Source organism: Homo sapiens, chromosome 3 (genome assembly GCF_000001405.40).
Source record: "Homo sapiens chromosome 3, GRCh38.p14 Primary Assembly".
NCBI classification, from domain to species: domain Eukaryota; kingdom Metazoa; phylum Chordata; class Mammalia; order Primates; family Hominidae; genus Homo; species Homo sapiens.
The window spans coordinates 29,105,912-29,122,552 of NC_000003.12; positions in this window are offsets into that span (position 1 = coordinate 29,105,912).

Consider the following 16,641-nt stretch of genomic DNA (forward strand, 5'->3'; position numbering starts at 1 on the left):
GGATGGAGCTTTGGAGTCTGTTTCTATTATTCCCAAGTGATGCTGATGCTTCTGGTGTGCAGACCACTGCAAGTAGCAATAAGGAAAAGTGTTTAAAACCAAGCTGGGCACTACAGAAGCGTTAGCATCATCATCATTGTCATTCTCATAATCATCACAGTCAATATCATGCTCCTCTGTCCTTGAAACATTCTCTTCTCTTAGTGATCTCATGCATTTCCTTAGTATCATCCTACAAGAAGGAAAGCTTTGTGAGTGCAGGAATCTTATTAGTCTTGTTATATCTAAATGCTTAGTAAATATTTGTTGGAAAAAGAAAAAGGAAGGAGAGGAGGCAGGAAAGTAGGATAATATTTCATGTGAATAACTCCTAGTGTTTATCAACAGGTCTTCTCTCCTTAATTCCACTCCAACACCACCTACTCTGCTAAATGTCTCTATCTGAAAGTCCCCCAGGCAACTCATATTTAATCCTTACAAAACTGTTGTGGTATCTGCTCTAGTCTTTCGTCTGTCCATATCTCTTTTCTCCAAATCTGTTACTATCTTCTGTGTTTCTTTTCATGCTACACCCACATTTTTCTTTCTTTTGTTACTACCATTTTTCTAAAAAAAAAAAAAGTCCTCCTCCAGTCTTCACCTGTCAAGACAATAAATTTTCTTGATGGCTTCCTCAAGGAATCTTCCTGTATGCCCCAATTAATGTGTAGTCTCAATACCCTGAAACCAATAATATTGCAGGTAGTACCTCTCTCATGACCCGCATCTATTAATATTTGATTGTTGTTAAGGCGGTAGCAGTGCTACCCAACTTCAGTCATGCACATGCTGCCTCTATGATTTTGATAAATTTCTCCCTGTACAATCTGTTATTGTCACTTTTATCAAAGATATTTGCACATACAAAAATCAGTAGCATGTGTATATGCCAACAGTGAACAATCTCAAGGAGAAATCAAGAAAGCAATCCAATTTACAACAGCTACAAAAAATATAAAATATTTGGGAATCAACCTAACTAAAGAAGTGAAAGATCTATACAAGGAATACTATAAAACACTGAGGAAAGAAATAGAAGAGGACATTTAAAAAATGGGAAGCTATGTCATGCTCGAGGACTGGAAGAATAAATATTGTTAAAATGACAGTACTACCCAAAGCAATTTAAGGATTCAATGCAGTGCCTAACAAAATACCAATGACATTCTTCACATAAATAAGAAAAAAATCCTAAAATTTATATGGAACCATGAAAGACCCTGAATAGCCAAAGCAATCCTGAGCAAAAAGGACAAAGCTAGAGGCATCATACTAACTGACTTTGAAATTTATGACAAAGATATCGTAATCAAAATGGCATGGTACTGGCATAAAAACAAACATTATAGACCAATGGAGTAGAATACAGAACACATATATAAATTGATGCATTTACAACCAACTCATCTTCAACAAATGTGCCAAGAATTTATAATAGGGAAAGGACAATCTTTTCAGTAAACGATTCTGGGAAAACTGGACAACCATATGCAGAAGAATGAAACTAGATCTCTCTCTCTCTTTCTCTCTCTCTCTCTCTCTGTCTCTCCATACAGAAAAATAAAGTTTAAATAGATTAAAGATTTGAATCTAAGATGTGAAACTATAAAACTACTAGAAGAAAACATCAGGGAAATGCTCCAGGATGATGTTCTGGGCTTGTGTAAGATCTAAAAGCACAGAAAACCAAAGCAAAAATAGACAATTAGAATTACTAAATGCTAAAAAGCATTTTCACGCAAAGGAAACAATCATCAAAGTGAAAAGGCAACACACAAAATGGGGGAAAATATTTGTAAACTACTCATCTGACAAGAGATTAATAACCAGAATATAGAAGCAGCTCAAGCAACTCAGTACCAAAAAATAAAAATCTGATTTAAAAATGGGCAAAAGATCTGAGCAGACATTTCTCAAAGAAGACATACAGTTGGCCAACAGGTTTATGAAAAAAATAGTCAACATCCCCAATCATTTGAGCAATGCAAATCAAAATCACAATGCAATATTATCTCATTCCAGTTAAAATGGCTTTATTAAAAAAGAAAGGCAATAACAGATGCTGGTGGAGAAAGGGGAACCCTCTTTCACTGTGGGTGGTAATAAAAATCAGTACAGCCACTATGGAGAACAGTATGGAGGTTCTTCAAAAAACTAAAAATAATTGCCCTGGCCAGAACTTCCAACACTATGTTGAATAGGAGTGGTGAGAGAGGGCATCCCTGTCTTGTGCCAGTTTTCAAAGGGAATGCTTCCAGTTTTTGCCCATTCAGTATGGTATTGGCTGTGGGTTTGTCATAGATAGCTCTTATTATTTTGAGATACGTCCCATCAATACCTAATTTATTGAGAGTTTTTAGCATGAAGGGTTGTTGAATTTGTCAAAGGCCTTTTCTGCATCTATTGAGATAATCATGTGGTTTCTGTCTTTGGTTCTGTTTATATGCTAGATTACATTTATTGATTTGCATATATTGAACCAGCCTTGCATCCCAGGGATGAAGCCCACTTGATCATGGTGGATAAGCTTTTTGATGTGCTGCTGGATTCGGTTTGCCAGTATTTTATTGAGGATTTTTGCATCAGTGTTCATCAAGGATATTGCTCTAAAATTCTCTTTTTTGGTTGTGTCTCTGCCAGGCTTTGGTATCAGGATGATGCTGGCCTCATAAAATGAGTTAGGGAGGATTCCCTCTTTTTCTATTGATTGGAATAGTTTCAGAAGGAATGGTACCAGTTCCTCCTTGTACCTCTGGAAGAATTCGGCTGTGAATCCATCTGGTCCTGCACTCTTTTTGGTTGGTAAGCTATTGATTATTGCCACAATTTCAGAGCCTGTTATTGGTCTATTCAGAGATTCAAATTCTTCCTGGTTTAGTCTTGGGAGAGTGTATGTGTCGCGGAATTTATCCATTTCTTCTAGATTTTCTAGTTTATTTGCGTAGAGGTGTTTGTAGTATTCTCTGATGGTAGTTTGTATTTCTGTGGGATCTGTGGTGATATCCCCTTTATCATTTTTTATTGCGTCTATTTGATTCTTCTCTCTCTTTTTCTTTATTAGTCTTGCTAGTGGTCTATCAATTTTGTTGATCCTTTCAAAAAACCAGCTCCTGGATTCATTGATTTTTTGAAGGGTTTTTTGTGTCTCTATTTCCTTCAGTTCTGCTCTGATTTTAGTTATTTCTTGCCTTCTGCTAGCTTTTGAATGTGTTTGCTCTTGCTTTTCTAGTTCTTTTAATTGTGATGTTAGGGTGTCAATGTTGGATCTTTCCTGCTTTCTCTTGTGGGCATTTAGTGCTATAAATTTCCCTCTACACACTGCTTTGAATGCGTCCCAGAGATTCTGGTATGTTGTGTCTTTGTTCTCGTTGGTTTCAAAGAACATCTTTATTTCTGCCTTCATTTTGTTATGTACCCAGTAGTCATTCAGGAGCAGGTTGTTCAGTTTCCATGTAGTTGAGCGGTTTTGAGTGAGATTCTTAATCCTGAGTTCTAGTTTGATTGCACTGTGGTCTGAGAGATAGTTTGTTATAATTTCTGTTCTTTTACATTTGCTGAGGAGAGCTTTACTTCCAACTATGTGGTCAATTTTGGAATAGGTGTGGTGTGGTGCTGAAAAAAATGTATATTCTGTTGATTTGGGGTGGAGAGTTCTGTAGATGTCCATTAGGTCCACTTGGTGCAGAGCTGAGTTCAATTCCTGGGTATCCTTGTTGACTTTCTGTCTCGTTGATCTGTCTAATGTTGACAGTGGGGTGTTAAAGTCTCCCATTATTAATGTGTGGGACTCTAAGTCTCTTTGTAGGTCACTCAGGACTTGCTTTATGAATCTGGGTGCTCCTGTATTGGGTGCATATATATTTAGGATAGTTAGCTCTTCTTGTTGAATTGATCCCTTTACCATTATGTAATGGCCTTCTTTGTCTCTTTTGATCTTTGTTGGTTTGAAGTCTGTTCTGTCAGAGACTAGGATTGCAACCCCTGCCTTTTTTTGTTTTCCATTTGCTTGGTAGATCTTCCTCCATCCTTTTATTTTGAGCCTATGTGTGTCTCTGCACGTGAGATGGGTTTCCTGAATACAGCACACTGATGGGTCTTGAGTCTTTATCCAATTTGCCAGTCTGTGTCTTTTAATTGGAGCATTTAGTCCATTTACATTTAAAGTTAATATTGTTATGTGTGAATTTGATCCTGTCATTATGATGTTAGCTGGTGATTTTGCTCGTTAGTTGATGCAGTTTCTTCCTAGTCTCGATGGTCTTTACATTTTGGCATGATTTTGCAGCGGCTGGTACCAGTTGTTCCTTTCCATGTTTAGCGCTTCCTTCAGGAGCTCTTTTAGGGCAGGCCTGGTGGTGACAAAATCTCTCAGCATTTGCTTGTCTGTGAAGTATTTTATTTCTCCTTCACTTATGAAGCTTAGTTTGGCTGGATATGAAATTCTGGGTTGAAAATTCTTTTCTTTAAGAATGTTGAATATTGGCCCCCACTCTCTTCTGGCTTGTAGGGTTTCTGCCGAGAGATCCGCTGTTAGTCTGATGGGCTTCCCTTTGAGGGTAACCCGACCTTTCTTTCTGGCTGCCCTTAACATTTTTTCCTTCATTTCAACTTTGGTGAATCTGACAATTATGTGTCTTGGAGTTGCTCTTCTCGAGGAGTATCTTTGTGGCGTTCTCTGTATTTCCTGAATCTGAACGTTGGCCTGCCTTGCTAGATTGGGGAAGTTCTCCTGGATAATATCCTGCAGAGTGTTTTCCAACTTGGTTCCATTCTCCCCATCACTTTCAGGTACACCAATCAGACGTAGATTTGGTCTTTTCACATAGTCCCATATTTCTTGGAGGCTTTGCTCATTTCTTTTTATTCTTTTTTCTCTAACCTTCCCTTCTCACTTCATTTCATTCATTTCATCTTCCATTGCTGATACCCTTTCTTCCAGTTGATCGCGTCGGCTCCTGAGGCTTCTGCATTCTTCATGTAGTTCTCGAGCCTTGGTTTTCAGCTCCATCAGCTCCTTTAAGCACTTCTCTGTATTGGTTATTCTAGTTATACATTCTTCTAAATTTTTTTCAAAGTTTTCAACTTCTTTGCCTTTGGTTTGAATGTCCTCCCGTAGCTCAGAGTAATTTGATCGTCTGAAGCCTTCTTCTCTCAGCTCGTCAAAGTCATTCTCCATCCAGCTTTGTTCCGTTGCTGGTGAGGAACTGCGTTCCTTTGGAGGAGGAGAGGCGCTCTGCGTTTTAGAGTTTCCAGTTTTTCTGTTCTGTTTTTTCCCCATCTTTGTGGTTTTATCTACTTTTGGTCTTTGATGATGGTGATGTACAGATGGGTTTTCGGTGTGGATGTCCTTTCTGTTTGTTAGTTTTCCTTCTTACAGACAGGACCCTCAGCTGCAGGTCTGTTGGAATACCCTGCCATGTGAGGTGTCAGTGTGCCCCTGCTGGGGGGTGCCTCCCAGTTAGGCTGCTCGGGGGTCAGGGGTCAGGGACCCACTTCAGGAGGCAGTCTGCCGGTTCTGGGAGAACCACTGCTCTCTTCAAAGCTGTCAGACAGGGACACTTAAGTCTGCAGAGGTTACTGCTGTCTTTTTGTTTGTCTGTGCCCTGCCCCCAGAGGTGGAGCCTACAGAGGCAGGCAGGCCTCCTTGAGCTGTGGTGGGCTCCACCCAGTTCGAGCTTCCTGGCTGCTTTGTTTACCTAAGCAAGCCTGGGCAATGGCGGGCGCCCCTCCCCCAGCCTCGTTGCCGCCTTGCAGTTTGATCTCAGACTGCTGTGCTAGCAGTCAGCGAGATTCCGTGGGCGTAGGACCCTCCGAGCCAGGTGTGGGATATAATCTCGTGGTTCACCGTTTTTTAAGCCGGTCTGAAAAGCGCAATATTCGGGTGGGAGTGACCCGATTTTCCAGGTGCGTCCGTCACCCCTTTCTTTGACTCGGAAAGGGAACTCCCTGACCCCTTGGGCTTCCCAAGTGAGGCAATGCCTCGCCCTGCTTCGGCTCGCACACGGTGCGCTCACCCACTGGCCTGCGCCCACTGTCTGGCACTCCCTAGTGAGATAAACCAGGTACCTCAGATGGAAATGCAGAAATCACCCGTCTTCTGCGTCGCTCACGCTGGGAGCTGTAGACCGGAGCTGTTCCTATTCGGCCATCTTGGCTCCTCCCCTTTCTGTGCTTCTATTAAGAAATATGATGCTATTTTGCTTCTTGATCATTTATATGCTAACTTTTTTTTCCTCTGTGAATGGTTTTAAGATTTTCATCTTTATTTCACGTTGTTATCAAGTGTGCGGTCTTAATGAGAACCTATTTGAATGTATTCTGGAAAGATTGGAAGCCCTTTAAATCTAGAAATTCTAAGTTCATGTATGAAAGTATTTTTGTACTTTCTGTTGATATTGTCCACCCATCCCGGATGAACTGAATTTTGCTTTCTGAAAATACTGTCACTTAGATGTCCAATCTTCTAGATTCATTCTGTAAATGTCTTATATTTTCTTTTCATATTTTTATCTTTCTTTGTTCTGTTTTCTGAGATTTCTTTTTTCAGTGTTTCTATTGAGGTTGTAATTTCTAAACACATCTTTTAATTTTAGAGAGTTCCTTTTTGTTCAGTAAATGACCTTTTATATCACCTTATTCTTGATTCATGAATATAATATTTCCTATTCTCTGATGGAAGATGGTAACAATATTTTTGACATTTTCCTCTCCATGAATCATCTCTGCTTTCCTAAAATTTATTTTTTCTATGTGCTAAAGCTTCTATTTGCACATTAGAGCGTTTTCTGTTTTGTTTGTTTATTTTTTACAAATATCTTCCTTTTCTTCCCTATCTGCTCAAACTTAAATACATGGTAACAGTTCTGGTTGGAAATTCTTACGTGCAGATGATAATTTTTAAATGTGAGTTGTTGGTATTATTTTACTGGAGAACCCCCAAAATGATGACCTTTCAGACAGATTCATCAGAATTACCAAGGAAGAATCTTCCATTATTTCTTGCAATCTCAAAATTTATAAGTAAATTTGTACTCATTCCCTGGTTTTACTAATGTACTGTTCTTACCTTTTCCTCACTTCTCATACACAGATTTATTTGCTCCTTTTGACACAAATCCACAATTGCCGGGCTATACAACATAGAAGAAGGAATTGGGGTATCAAAGTTCTCTTTGAACAAAATTACAGTATTTGCCAGCTTTTCTCCATTATCACTCCCTCTTCTGGAAGTTTCCATACTACTGACTCTTAAGCCTGTGGGAGGTCTGCAGTAAAAAGTAGGTAGTTTCCTAGCTTTCTAAGTGCAGCCACCAGATTCAGCTTTTCCAGGACCAAGTATGCAAGCTTCCCCTAATCCTTCTGATCTCAAACTGTCAAAGTTATGTTGCTGTTGTCTTTTCACTTCTTTTTGCTTCTGTAAGTTTATTTCTTTTAAAACATTTTTCATGGCTGGGCATGGTAGCTCACACCTGTAATCCCACTATTTCGGGAGGCCGAGGCAGATGGATTTCGTGAAGCCAGGAGTTCAAGACCAGCCTGACCAATATGATGAAATTGTCTGTGCTAAAAATACAAATATTAGCCAGGCATGGTGGCAGGTGCCTGTAATCCCAGCTACTTGGGAGGCTGGCTGAGGCATGAAAATCACTTAAACCCAGGAGGTAGAGATTGCACTGAGTGGAGCTCAAGCTACTCCACTCCAGCCTAGGTGACACAGTGAGATTCCATCTCAAAAAATAAATAAATAAAAATAAGTAAATAATAACATAAAACATATTTCATTATTTTATTTAGAAGTAATGCATCAAAATAAGCTTTCTTAATCCTCTCCTGATTATTTTTTAACTGAAGTAACTATTTTTGCTTTAGCCCTAGCAATGTTTGTGAAATTTTTTTTCTGTTTAGCTATGTTTTATGCACAGCAAATAAACACACAGTTTTTTAACTGCCCTCATAATGTCCAAGATTATTTTATGAATGTTTAATTTTAAGCATGATGTATTTTGAAAAGTGCTATGCAATATTTCTCAGCATGAGGTTGACACTCCTTAGATATTTATTGACTGGTAAAATTAATGGTCCCTGGACATTCCTTAGAATAATTTTTTAATAATGTATTTTACACAATATGTTCATGTGTGGGTTCTGTGTCTGTGTGTATATGTGTGTGTGTGTGTGTGTGTGTGTGTGTGTGTGTGTGCATGCACACAGCAGCTAATCAGTCACTTAATGGAAGGAGCACTGCAAATTGTCTGTGTACCCCCAGGAACAATTCCCCACTACTGAGTTGCCATATCACTCAGCAGGGTTGAGACCCTAGCAGTGGCGTTAAGTATTATCATTATTTTCCAGAATATTACCATCTGCTCATTTGATTCATTAACCTCCTATTGTACCTCATAAAAGAAATGTCTAGGCATGGAAGAAGATACACTATAGAACCAAACAGGGAAGAGATGTTCATCACACATTTTGCTTTGGGAACAGGGGTCAATGTTTCTCTTGTTTTATTTTTTTCTTTCCTATACAGTTTATTAACTTTCTTGCAGGGAGGTGGTAGACTGTCCACATAAATGAAATGATCCTGGTCTAGTTTGTTTATTGCTGGTGACAAGTTAAGACAAATCAATTAATATTCAATGTAGTCATTTTTTGTGTGTCTTCCAAGAGGAGAAAAAGTAAATGAGCTAGTAATGAGCTAATAGCTGGTTAAATTAACAAACATGTTTTCCCACTCCCCAGTTGGCTTTTTAAACCAATCATTATTAACATTAAAAGGATGTAATTTTTATGTTGGCCATATTCATGCTTATATGAGGTTGTAGAATCTGAAAAAATATGTGTTTTGGTGATTTCTCCGAATTATTTATGCAGGCACTTTTCTGTATTTTTCATCACTTAGTAATAATAAATACACATAACATATGCTATGTGGCAGACTTTGTTTAAAGAACTATGTATGTTAATTTATTTAATCTTCAAAACAACCTTTTGAAAGAGTTATTATTCTACTTAACTAATAACAAGATGAGGTACTCAGAGAATTGAGTAATATTCCAAGTCACATAGCTGGTAAGTGGTAGATAACTCTCTGAAGCCATCCATCCCCTCTACCTCCAGAGTTGGCCCTTCAGTACTACACTCTATCACCACCCTAACTTCTGAGATAATGCAGGTCCAGTTTAGCTAAAGTAATGAATATCTTTGAAAAAGGAATGAACAAATTATTTTTTATCTGACCTGAAGTTATGCTTATAGTACGGATTGTACCGGAATCTAGGGTCTATAGAAGACATTCAGTGTAGTCCCATTGTACTTTCTATATTAAATAATGATTCTGTTAGTTTATTTAATTTTAATCTTATCTAAGTCTGCCATAAAATTAGAATAATGTGAATTCATTGGACTTCTAAACTAAAGAAATCACATTAAAATAACAAATACAAATTCAAATGATGTAAATTCCAGGCTCTTAAATTTTTGACAACTTTTAGAAGCTAAACAAAACAAAAAAGCTTTGAAGTACAGAGTAGACCATTATCTTTGTTATAAAATATTTAAAGCAGAGCTCTGTGCTCAATACTCATAATTAAATTTCACATTGTTAAATTTATTGTCTAAGTGCTTTAAACTCATGCTTATTTCCGAATATATCAACCTAGTTAAAAACGTGCCTGCATTGACGAAAATTATTCTCCTTTGGAAGGTAAAGTCTTTAGCATGAAATTTAAAAAATGAAAAACAGTTAAAATATAAAATCAATGCATTCCTTTCCATTTACCTCCACTTACTATTACTCAAAAATATTTTATTTTTGATACAAAAACTGTCTCCATTATCTGAGTTAAATTAGTTCTGTTATTTTATATTTGGTTGATGAGGCCATCTTTTTATTTTTACAAAGGACTTTGTAAGTATTTGGCCTCAGAGCTGAAACTGTCCTTACGGAGAATTAAAACTTGGACGTTTGAATAGGAACTAAAATGCCTTGATGTCTATATTTGTATGACTCAGTATAGAAATGTTGAAATAATCTACTCTTCCAGTTTTCTTAAAAAATGCATGAGTTTTAGACTTATCCAACAAAGAGAGGTAACAAGCAAAGATAATAGAAGCTTTTCTGTAAGAGCTTAGTAGTATTTTTTAAGGTGATTAAATATCGGCTCACGCCAGTGAATCCCAGCACTTTGAGAGGCTGAGGCAGGTGGATCACGAGGTGAGAAGTTCGAGACCGGCCTGGCCAATATGGTGAAACCCCGACTCTACTAAAAATACAAAAATTAGCTGGGCATGGTGGTACGCACCTGTAGCCCAGCTACTCAGGAGGTTGAGTCAGAAGAATCGCTCGAACCCGGGGGGCGGAGGTTGCAGTGAGCCAAGATCATGCCACTGCACTCTAGCCTGGGTGACTCCCTCTCAACGAGAAAAAAGATATGTGAACATACATTAATATATTTTAAAAATAAATGCTAAATATATACATGTGTACCAGTAAGATGGATAAATGCATGAATTGAAATATATACATATTACTATGGTTTTAATGTGTCCTCTCCAAAATTCAGCCATTTCCAATGTAGTATTAGGAGGTAGGGCTTTTTAGTGGTGATCAGGCCAGAAAGGCTTCTCCCTTATGAATAGGATTAGGTGCCCTCATAAAAGGGATTCATAGATGGAATTCATCTCTCTTGCCTTTTCACCTTCTGCTATGTGAAGATGAGGCCAGAATACCCTGACCAGACACCAAATGCCAGCACCTCAATCTTAGACTTTCCAGCCTCCAGAACTGTGAGAAAAAATGTATTCTCTTTATAAATTACCCAATCATTTAGGTCTACACATTATTTAGTTTGCCAAATCTACAATGCCTCTGAAGAATCTGTGTTTCTCCAGACAATAACTTGCTGTTCTTCAAGTTGTTTCTGTTCATCTGAACCTCTCTGTTTAATACAAGAAGAGCAGATTGATGTTGAACATGAGACAAACTTTTTTTTTTTAACACTAAAACAATTTATTCTCATACTATGTAAGGCCAAAGGTAACCATTAAAGATGCTTGCTGAAGTACACCAAAAGAATAATAAACTTAGCAAATCAATAGATTTCTCTTGGTTTTCTAAGGTTTAAGTTTTCTTATACCTTAAATATCTGATATCAGTCAATATTCATAGAAACTACTCAGATATTTCAAACAAGAAATTTAATACAGATAATTAATTACAAAAGAGGGAGAAGGATAACAGGAACAAAGAGGAGAAGGGAAAGCTTCTCAGTGTAATAACTGTAGCAGCTCCTATACAACCTTAGGTGTGAAAGAGAAGTAGAAAAAACTGATGTCACCAGAACTCATGATTGCTCTGCTGTTGAGGCTGCTTGAGCATCTACTGAAGCTATCATTGCTAATGTACAAGCCATTGATACTTCCATTGTGTGAGAATTCTGCACTGTACTGCTAGTCTATATATATACAATTACCAGTGCATTGCTAGTATATACATACATATATATATACATGTATAGATAAAATAGTGTTATAATTTTATTTTCTAATTGTTTATTGCTGTGTAAAGAAATGTAATTAGTAACAATAAGTACCTGATAAACCCGATAAACCTTTTCTCAACATCCTAATGATTAATCTGTGGTTTTCCTTCGATTTTCTATACAAACATTTCACCTGAATGTAATTACAACTCTTCCATTTTTTAGATAGTTTCTTTTTTTGTTGTTGTTCTAGGTATTTTTCCTTTTTGTATAGCTCTTTAAATTTCTTGGCTTAAAACTATTTTTTAATATCCACTTCTAATCTTCTGAGAAATATATCTTCAGTATCTATGGTTGTGTCTCCATTTTATTCCTAATATGTTCTGTTTTTTCTTTCTCGCCTTTCTTATTGATAAGCTGCACCAGATATTTGTCAGTTTTACAAGGTTTCTCCAAAAGCTGAGTTGTTTATATCACTGAATCATTTTTCCCTTTGTTATTATATTTGGTTCTTGTTTTTGTATTCCTTTACCTCTACTTTATTTGTGATTTATCTGTTTATTTCCTAAATTCTTGAAATGGATACTTGTTAATTTTCGGCTTCTCTTCCAGTATAAGTAGATATGGATATGTAGATTCATATATATCTATTTCCATATTTACTATATCTATATATATTTCATCTGACCTTGTAGGACTATTCCCCTGTCCTTTCTCTTTTAAAGTTTCAGCCCAGCACTTACTTTTTTTCTGTTGGCTCTAGATTTTTTTCTCAGGAAACTATCTATTTCATTTTCATTTCATTACTTTCGCATAATTTGAATTCTAAAGTAGTCTCTTAGGTAGATCATAGATGATGGTTATTTATGTTTTTGTTACTCTATTTTTAAAGAATTTCTTGAAATATATAGACTGTTGTAGTTTCCATTATTTTATCAAAACATGGAACTCTTTTCTTTTTTTTGAATCTTCTTGAACATATAGTTTCATATTCTCTACCTAATAATTGCAATGTCTGTATCTCCCATGGGTCTGATTTTGCTGTCATTTCCCTTTGCCCTTTCTCATGGGACTTTGCATGTTTAGTAAAATTTTCACAGTGAGATGTTTTGTTTTGTTTTTACTTGTAAATTTTTATGGTGGAATTATTAAAATTCCAGGATGAATTTTTTTTTCCCAGAAACAAATTCTGTGTTTTTGTTATTTGCCTGGGAGCACTGACAGATTTATGAATAAGGGTATACTCTTTGGGTTCCAAACTTTACATAATACCTTCTATTACACTCCTCACCTAGAGAAGGTCTGATATGGTTTAGCTGTGTCCCTACCCAAATCTCATCTTGAACCCATAATCCCCACATGTTGTAGGAGGGACCTGGTGGAAGGTAATTGAATCATGGGGGTGGGTTTTTCTCATTCTATTAGGATAGTGAATCAGTTTCATGAGATCTGATAGTTTTATAAGGGGGAGTTCCCCTGCACAAGCTCTCTTGCCTACTGCCATGTAAGACATGCCTCTGCTCCTCCTTCATCTTCTGTCATGATTGTGAGGACTCCTCCCCAGCCATGTGGAACTGAGAGTCCATTAAACATCTTTTTTTATTTACAAATTACCTAGTCTTAGGTGTTTCTTCATAGCAGTATGAAAATTGGCTAATAGAGTAAATTGCTACCAGTAGAGTGGGGTACTGCTATAAGGATACCCAAAAATGTGGAATTGACTTTGGAACTGGGTAACAAGCAGAGGTTGAAACACTTTGGAGGGCTCAGAAGAAGACAGGAAAATGTGGGAAAGTTTGGAACTTCCTAGAGACTTGTTGAATGGCTTTGACTAAAATGCCGATAGTGATATGGACAATAAACTCCAGGCTGAGGTGGTCTCTGATAGAGATGAGGAACTTGGTAGGAACTGGAGTAAAGGTCACTCTTGCTATGTTTTAGGAAAGAGACTGGCAGCATTTTGCCTCTGCCCTAGAGATTTTTGGAACTTAGAACTCGAGAGAGATGATTTAGGGTATCTGGCAGAAGAAATTTCTAAGTGGTAAAGTGTTCAAGAGGAAGCAGAGCATAGAAGTTTGAGAAATTTGCAGACTGATGATGCAGTAGAAAAGAAAACCCCATTTTCTGGGGAGAAATTCAAGCCAGCAGCATAAATTTGCTTAAGTAACCAGCAGCCCAATGTTAATCACCAAGAGAATGAGGGAAATGTCTCCAGGAAATGTCAGAGACGTTTATAGCAACCACTCCCATCACAGACCTGGAGGCCTAGGAGGAAAAACTGGTTTCATGGGCTGGGTCCAGGGCTCCCCTGCTGTGTGCACCCTAGGGATTTGGTGCCCTGTATCCCAGCTGCTCCAGCCATGGCTAAAAGGGGCCAAGGTACAGCTCAGGCCATGGCTTGGGAGGGTGCAAGCCCCAAGCCTTGGCAGCTTCCACATAGTGTTGAGCCTGCAGGTATGCAGAAGTCAAGAATCAAGGTTTGGGAACCTCTGCCTAGATTTCAGAGGATGTATGGAAATGCTTGGATGTCCAGGCAAAATTTTGCTGCAGGGATGAAGCCCTCATGGCAAACCTCCACCAAGGCAATGCGAAAGTGAAATGTGGGATGGGAGCCCCCACACAGAGTCCCTACTGGGTCACTGACTAGTGGAGCTGTGAGAAGAGGGCCACTGTCCTCCAGACCCCAGAATGGTAGATCAGCTTGTGCTGTGCACTTGGAATAGCTGCAGACACAACACCAGCCTGTGAAAGCAGCCAGGAGGGGTCTGTACCCTGCAAAACTACAGAGGCAGAGTTTCCCAAGGCTAGGGAAGCCCACTTATTGCATCAGAGCGACCTGGATGTGAGACATGGAGCCAAAGGAGTTCATTTTGGAGCTTTAAGATTTTACTGCACTGCTGGATTTTGGACTTGAATGAGGCCTGTAGCCCGTTTGTTTTGGCCAATTTCTCCCATTTGGAACTGGCATATTTACCCAATGCCTGTACCCCCATTGTATCTAGGAATTAACTAACTTGCTTTTGATTTTACAGGCTCATAGGCAGAAGGGACTTGCTTTGTCTCAGATGAGACTTTGGACTCTGGACTTTTGAGTTAATGTTGAAATGAGTTAAGACTTTGGGGGACTGTTGGGAAGACATGGTTGATTTTGAAATGTGAAGACATGAAATTTCGGAGGGGCCAGGAATAGAATGATATGACTTGGCTCTGTCCCCACCCCAGTCTTATCTTGCATTATAGCTCCCATAATCTCCATGTGTCATGGGAGGGACACAGTGGGAGGTAATTGAATCACGGAGGTGTGTTTTTTCCATGCTGTTCTCATGATAGGGAATAAATCGCATGATATCTGATGGTTTTATAAAGGGTAGTTCCCCTGCACATGCTCTCTTGCCTGCCACCATGTAAGACGTGCCTCTGCTCCTCCTTTGCCTTCTGTAATGATTATGAGGCCTCCCCAGCCATGTGGAACTGTGAGTCCATTAAACCTCTTAAAAAAAATTACCCAGTCTCAGGTATTTCTTCATAGCAGTATGAAAATAGACTAATACAATGCCCCATTAGAGAAATATTCTGTCTCAGTTTATAAATCTGTAAAAAGTGGTACTCAAACTCAGTTTGGAAAAATCATCTTAATGTACTTGCTTGATGACTTAGTCAGTTCTGGCTACTGTAAAAAAAAAAAATACCATAGACTGAGTGGGTTAAACAACAAAAATTTATTTCTCCCAGTTTTGGAGGGTGAAAAGTCCGGATTAAAGTGCTGGCCAAATTTTTGCCTGGTAAGGGCTCTCTTCCTGGTTTATAGAGGGATGGCTTCCTATTGTATTCTCACATGGCAGAGCGGGGAAAGAGACAATGAGAGAGAGAAGGAGGGAGGGAGGCAGGGAGGGAAGGAGAGAGAGAGAGAAAGAGAGGAGAGAGAGAGAGAGAGTGAGTGAGCTTATGTCTTTTCTTATAAGGACACTAACCCCATTGAGACTTCTGCTCTCATGACCTAATTACCTCTTAAAGACCCCATCTCTAAATGCCATCACATTGGAGATTAGAGTTTCAGTATATCAATTTTGAGCCATTGATGTATTCAAGAACATTGTAACAACCATGCTACCAAGTATTCTTTATTGATTTTACTGGGATGTACTTTGCACAGCATGTTGAGATATAAAATGCTACCTAGTTCATAATGATTAAAGTTAGAAAATAAGCTAAATTTCCATCAATAGATGAATGCTAAATAAATAGGTAAGTATTGGACCATCCATATTGTGGCATACAAGATCCTCAACAGCTTTGAAAATAGAACTTATTAGGTCTGTATATGCTAAAATGCATAATTTTTTATGTAATGTATATGTTATACTTGCTTTTGTCTCAAAATATATTTGTTATAAATACATACAGGCATAGATATATTCATAATGTAAATAAATAAATCTGTGAGAATGCATTTAAACAGTTATCAGAAATTACTTCGAGAGAGGGGAGTAAGATCAGTAGTGAAACTGGGAATTGAAAAAGGAATTTTACTTTCAAATCTATAGACTGCTGAGTTGTTTACATTTGTAGGGAATATATGTTCGTGTATTAAACTTTTAACATTTTCAAGAATCTTCATAAAAGATAGATAAATCACTAAAAGGGTTTTCACATGAACTAATCGTACATGTAAATACAACAAATAGAATTTCTTTTGCAATACCTATGGATATCTTTATTTAATAAAATGTGCTGTAGCAGAAAGCTTCTATATAAAAAATTTGTAGCTTAAAATCTAAGATCAAAAGGAAATCTATTAAAGCAAGATAATACTCCTTTGATATAATTTTTTAAGTTTATTCTTCACCTTGATTTGGTATTATACAAATCACTGTACATTTTGCAATTTCCATCTTTTTAGCTGCTGAAATATATGTTTCTATTAGGGCCAACTGTATTTAGCATTATATCCTAAATTTGTTCTATAAATAAGTTTAAATTAATTTCAATTCAGAGAAGAAATATTCTTCTACGGACACATGCGTAAGACTAGTTAGAGGTAAATGACCAAATAACACATTTCAGAAAGAAATTTATTCCTCTCATATAGTAGTTTGTGATAACTATTTAACCATTTCAC